The following is a 6,078-nucleotide window of genomic DNA, read 5'->3' on the forward strand; positions in this document are numbered from 1 at the left end:
GTAGTTTTTCAATCCTCTCCCTCCTTCCCGCATGCACCCTCAAGTAGCCCCCAGTGTCTGTCATTCCCAACTTTATGTCCATGAGTACCCAAGGTTTAGCTCCTACTTAGAAGTGAAAACAAGCAGTACTTGGTTTAGTGTTCCTACATTGATTCACTCAGGATAACGGCCTCTAGCTGCATCCATGTTGCCGCAAAGCACATGATTTCATTCTTTTTCATGGCTGCATAGTATTCCAGGGTGTCTATGTACCACATTTTCTGTATCCAGTCCACCACTGATGGGCATCTAGGTTGATTCCATGTTTTTGCCATTGTGAATAGTGTCACTCCGTTTTCCACCCTCAAATATGACTATGAATTTATGCTATTGTGCCCCTCCCATTCCACTATAATGTTTTTTTTTTCTTTCCATTGCTCACCTAGAGCAAAATCATTTTCCCTCTCTCCTCCACGGCCCCATCTTCCCATGGTCTTTCAGCACACCGTTTCCATCCACAGTGAGGTCAGGAGGAGGTAGTTACCATGACTCCTTGCTGATGTTTATGCCTCTGCTTTTGTAATAAAGCACATCATTGGAAGTCCATGTCTTCCAATCATGCCACATTCTACAGTTCTTGTTTGCCTCACAAACAACTGCTCGCTGTCAGACTCCTGGAGCTTCAATCAACCCGTAAAGTGAAGGGGGCTGCTCTGCTGTGGCCCTTTCTCTATGGCAAAGAGCTCTGAGCTCTGAGCTGAAAACATCTGGAGTTGCATATTTGACTGGGAGAGCCTATTGCAAAGTGACAACATTGCAGTGAAAGGAAAACAGGGACATCACACCTCATTTCTCATGTGGATGGAAATCTGGACTCTCGTAGAAGCTGAAGAGTGGAATACTCTTGGCTAGCTCCTAGAGCCTAGCTTTTACCTCAGACCAAAGATCCACAGCAAAACGTTCTGTTTGCTTTCTATTCCTTGCTTTGACAGATTTCCAGAAGGAGCTTTTTCATTGAGTAAATGCGGACAATAAATTTCTCATCAAAGGCAAAATGGGTTTTGTGACTATTACCCGTGTTTTCTCTAGTTTGCATCAAATAAACCAGGTTTCCGATGGCCATTAATTTTCCCAGAATAGAGACACTCATATAGTTGCTGGTTATAGTGAAAAGGAAAAAAAAGCCCCATTATTCAGGATTTTTACAGTCAAATCTCTGTTCATTTTACCACTAACGGTACGCCATAATCTCAGTGTATGGTAGTATTATTTTCACTATACTGGAAAGTGGAAAATTACAGTGAGAAAACTGTGTTCTGCAGACATAAGAGGATTGCTCACTCAATTTCATGTGAGTTGCTTTCTAATAACATTGTAGGAGGCTATTTTGCTTCTGATCTATTCTATTCTCTTATGCCATGCTCTTCTAAGCACCTAAATTTCCGAACTGGAGTTTATGTTTAGGAAAATCTCTTGTAATGGAAAGAATAAAACTCTACTACCAAAAGCTAAGGAGTTCAATTATATATTCTTGTAGTATCAGCAATAATGACATCATCCCTTTGTATTTACTGGGCAGTGATACATCTTAACAATCTAAGTAAAACTAACAAAGTCAATCTAAGAAAATCTAACGAAGTAAAAACTGGATTTAGGGTAGTAAACATAAGAAAGACCTGAGGATCATACAAAACTATCCCTTTGATCTTCCTTCTCCATCTTTCCCCACAGGAATGGCCAGAATTGCAAATGAGAATAAGAGCTATGCCTCCTTCCTCCCTCAACAGTAAAATGACGCAGAATAAATTTAACATGGAAGAAAAATGGAGATAAATGCATGACCTGGGATATTTTCCAGTGGAGCCACAAGAAGTCTTTCAAACCAGTGACAATGGAATAAATACAGTGCAGCCTATGCATTAGAGTAAATTGAAACTTTTCAATTAGGAGAATAGAAAGTTTGCCTTGCGGGTCAGAGCTTTAAATCTCTTTGTGTTATGCTGTGTTTTCCATTTTTGTACCATCTATAATATTTTGATTATTTGGATATAGAGGAAAATGTAACCTCTTTTCTTAGCAAGAAATAGCATATAGCATCATACAACTCACTAAACAAATAAATCAACCTGTTTATTGCTTAAAAATGTATCACACAAATTCAGTTTCTGCTTTGTTATTGTAAGGCTGTTGAATGGATAAATAAAGCATGGTTGTATGTTAAAAAAAAAAAACAGAGAGGGAGTTGGAAGAAGTCCAACCACAATTTCTTGTGCAAAATCTTACAGAAGCTGGGTTGAAGTGCTTTGTACCACTTCATTAGTATTTGTTGTAGACACTGTGATGCCAGGCCGTGGAGAAACCGATGATCTGACAATTGTAAATCACTCAAATATGTACGTCCATAGAGCAACATGGATTTTAAGAGGTTGTCTATATTTCTAGGAGGAAATTTACTAACACATTCACCCAAATATTTAACTTAGTATGATACGTCATTTACTGTGCAAATGCCTGATTGAAACAGTATGGGGGAAAGCTGTTTTTATGGAGAAATAAGGAATAAGGAATTCACTGTTCGGTTTTTGTGTTTGGCCTGAATGTAACAGCCTTCACTCTCCTCTACCAGAACGTCTGCTGGCAAAAACACAATGGCAGCACTACTGAGAACAAGACCTAGACTTAACCTCACAGTTGGAGTTAAGGCGGCTTTTCCAACTGTAACTTCAATTTCTGCAAAGCAATCATTGATCTGAACTTCTTCTGTGATGGACATTTCTAAATGATATAAAGGTGGAAAAAAAATAGAAAACTTATAGGATAATCCTCATTAATTAAAGTGGTAGTTATTATTTGCTTTTCAATATGTAAAATTTTCCCAGAACAATTTTTTTTTTTTTTAGTAGAGATAGAGGGGTTTCACTTTGTTGTCCAGGATGGTCTCGAACTCCTAGACTCAAGCAATCCTCCTGCTTTGGCTTTCCAAAGTGCTGGGATTACAGGGGTAAGACACCACGCCTGGTCCCAAAACAATTACATCATTATGTTCGACTAGCCTGAAAGATCTCCTCATAATCTAATGTCATCTAAATTATGAAATTGATTGGGAATTTGAATCTGAATTTTGGAATATACACAAGGCACTTGAGTTCCTAAAAACAGGAAATGTATTCTGATTATCCTAATAATAAAATGCCCCTGAGAAGTAGCAGGCATTTAATATTTTGAAGCACCATTGACTCTGAATCCCAAAGTAATGTAATATTTAGAAAACCAGATTTTTTTTTTTTTGAGAGTCTCACTGTGTCACTCAGGCTGGAGTGCAGTGGCACAATCATGGCTCACTGCAGCCTTGACCTCCTGGGATCAAGTGATCCTCCCACCTCAGCCTCACAAGTAGCTGGGACTACAGGTGCGTGTCACCATGGCCAGCTAATTCTTTTTTCTTTTTTTTTTTTTTAAGATATGGGGTCTTGCTATGTTGCCCATGCTGGTCTGGAACTCCTGGGCTCAAGCCTTTCTCCCATGTTGGCCTCCCAAAATGTTGGGATTATAGGCATGAGCCATCAAGCCTGGCCAGAAACTCTGATTTTTAATAAAAGGCAAGAGGATTGTGTGCAGAATTTGAAAATATATCTTCTTGATCAAAACGTGAAATCTTGCATAGATATGAGAGTTCCGATGAATAAGAATTTGGGGAATTCACACATAAAAAATGCATTCTTGTCCTGGGCACACCGGAAAACCACACACAATTTAGACCCACCACCCCTGGCCCCAAACCTGCAGTCAGGACCAAGTTGTCAGGACCTAATTAATGCCAATGGAGTTTGGCTACAAGACCTTCCTCATTAAAAATAAATCACTTTTGATATGCTAATTACCCTAATTTGGTCACTGTGCATTATATGTATTGAATCATCACTATGTACCCCATGAATGTGTGCTGTTGTTATTTGTCAATTTTTTGTTCGTTTTTTAGACAGGGTCTTGCTCTGTTGCCAGGCTGGAGTGTAGTAGCACGATCTCAGCTCACTGCAACCTCCGCCTCCTGCGTTCAAGTGATTCTCCTGAGTAGCTGGGATTACAGGCACCTGCCACCACACCCGGCTAATTTTTATATTTTTAGTAGAGACGGGGTTTCACCACGTTGGCCAGGCTGGTCTTGAACTCCTGACCTCAGGTGATCCACCCACCTCAGCCTCCCAAAGTGCTAGGATTATACAGGCATGAGCCACCATGCCCGGCCTTATTTTTAAATTAAAATTAAATATATATATTATAATATGTATACATAATGAGATATATACACATATATCTGTGTGTGTGTGTGTGTGTATCCTGAATCTGCCCCCCAAAAAATGAAAACAAAACAAAAAAATAACCAAGTCTCTCCCAACCAGTGGCATCCTAAGGGTGTATCCTAAGGGTGCAGCCCTCTGTTCCACAAATAGGTAAGAAGCAGATCCATATCTATAGGGAATTTTAACATAATATTAAAACAAACCCAAGTGGGCTTGTTTGTAGTTATCACCACGCATCGGTCATTCTTCACAACTTTATTTACAAAGTACAAAGCTGATATTATTGCAAAATGATACAGCTGCTTTTGCGTTTTAATAATAATATTGTATATGAGAGCATCAAGATATTTGTTGTCTTTCGATGAGCCTTGCGTTCCACAGGAAGATTCAGGGAACTGTCACAGTCAACCGGCAACACAGACAGGCTCAAAGACACGTGCTCTTTTTGAGAATAGATTTGCACGAGTGCAGAATCTTCATTTTAGGTCTCTATTCCCCATGCTTGTAAATACTCTCGGGTTTGAAGTGTGGACTGGAAAGCAACACTGATAAAGGTAATGAAAAAATAACAGCGGTTAGGGTCCAATTTTTTTTTTTTTTTTTTTTTTTTGAGACAGAGAACTGCTATGTCACCCAGGCTGGAGTGCAGTGGCGTGATTTTGGCTCACTGCAACCTCCGCCTCCCAGGTTCAAGTAATTCTTCTACCTCAGCCTCCGGAGTAGCTGAGACTACAGGTGTGCACCACCACACCTGGCTAATTTTTGTATTTTTACTAGAGACGCCATGTTGGTCAGGCTGATCTCAAACTCCTGACCTCAGGTGATCCGCCCGCCTTGGCCTCCCAAAGTGCTGGGATTACAGGTGTGAGCCACCACGCCCGGCCCAAGTTAATCTTTGAACCATGTAGAGTTCACTTATTTGCAAGCATTTCTGCATGTGGCTTTTCCCTTTTCTCAAAAAATTGACATAATTAGAATGTATTAATCCATTACTTTTCCCTTTATACAGTAATATTAATTTTATTGTAGAGATTTATGAGGCACAATATGATGTTTTGATATTTGCTCACATTGCAGGATGATTAAATCGAGCTACTTATTTATCACCTGACATATTTTTGTATCGGTAGTGAGAATATTTTAAAATTTGTTATTCTCTTATCCATTTTCAAGTATACCATGCTATTAACCGTAGTCACCACGTTGTACAGTAGATCTCCTGAACGTATTCCTCCTGTGTCGCTGAGATTTTGCATCCCCTGACCAACATCTTCCCTAATTCCCTACCTCACTCCCCAGCTCATGGGAACCACCATTCTACTCTCTACTTCTAGGACTTCCTTCTTTAGATCCCACATAGAACTGAGATCGTGTGATGATTGTTTTTCTGTACCTCGTTTATTTCACTTAACATAATGTCCTCCAGTTCCATCCATGCGACTGCAGACTGCAGAGGAAAGAATTTTATTCTTTTTTCTTCTCTTTTTTTTTTTTTTTTTTTTTTTTTTGAGACAGTCTCACTCTGTCACCCAGGCTGGAGTGCAATGGCGTGATCTCAGCTCACTGCAACCTCTGCCTCCTGGGTTCAAGCAATACTCTCGCCTCAGCCTCCAGAGTAGCTGTGATTACAGGCACCTGCCATCATACCTGGCTAATTTTTGCATTTTTGTAGAGATGGGGTTTCACCATGTTGGCCAGGCTGGTCTTGAACTTCTGACCTCAGGTGATCTGCCCGCCTCAGCCTCCCAAAGTGCTGGGATTACAGGCATGAGCCACTGCACCTGGCAGAATTTTATTC

Source organism: Homo sapiens, chromosome X (assembly GCF_000001405.40).
Source record: "Homo sapiens chromosome X, GRCh38.p14 Primary Assembly".
Taxonomy (NCBI): domain Eukaryota; kingdom Metazoa; phylum Chordata; class Mammalia; order Primates; family Hominidae; genus Homo; species Homo sapiens.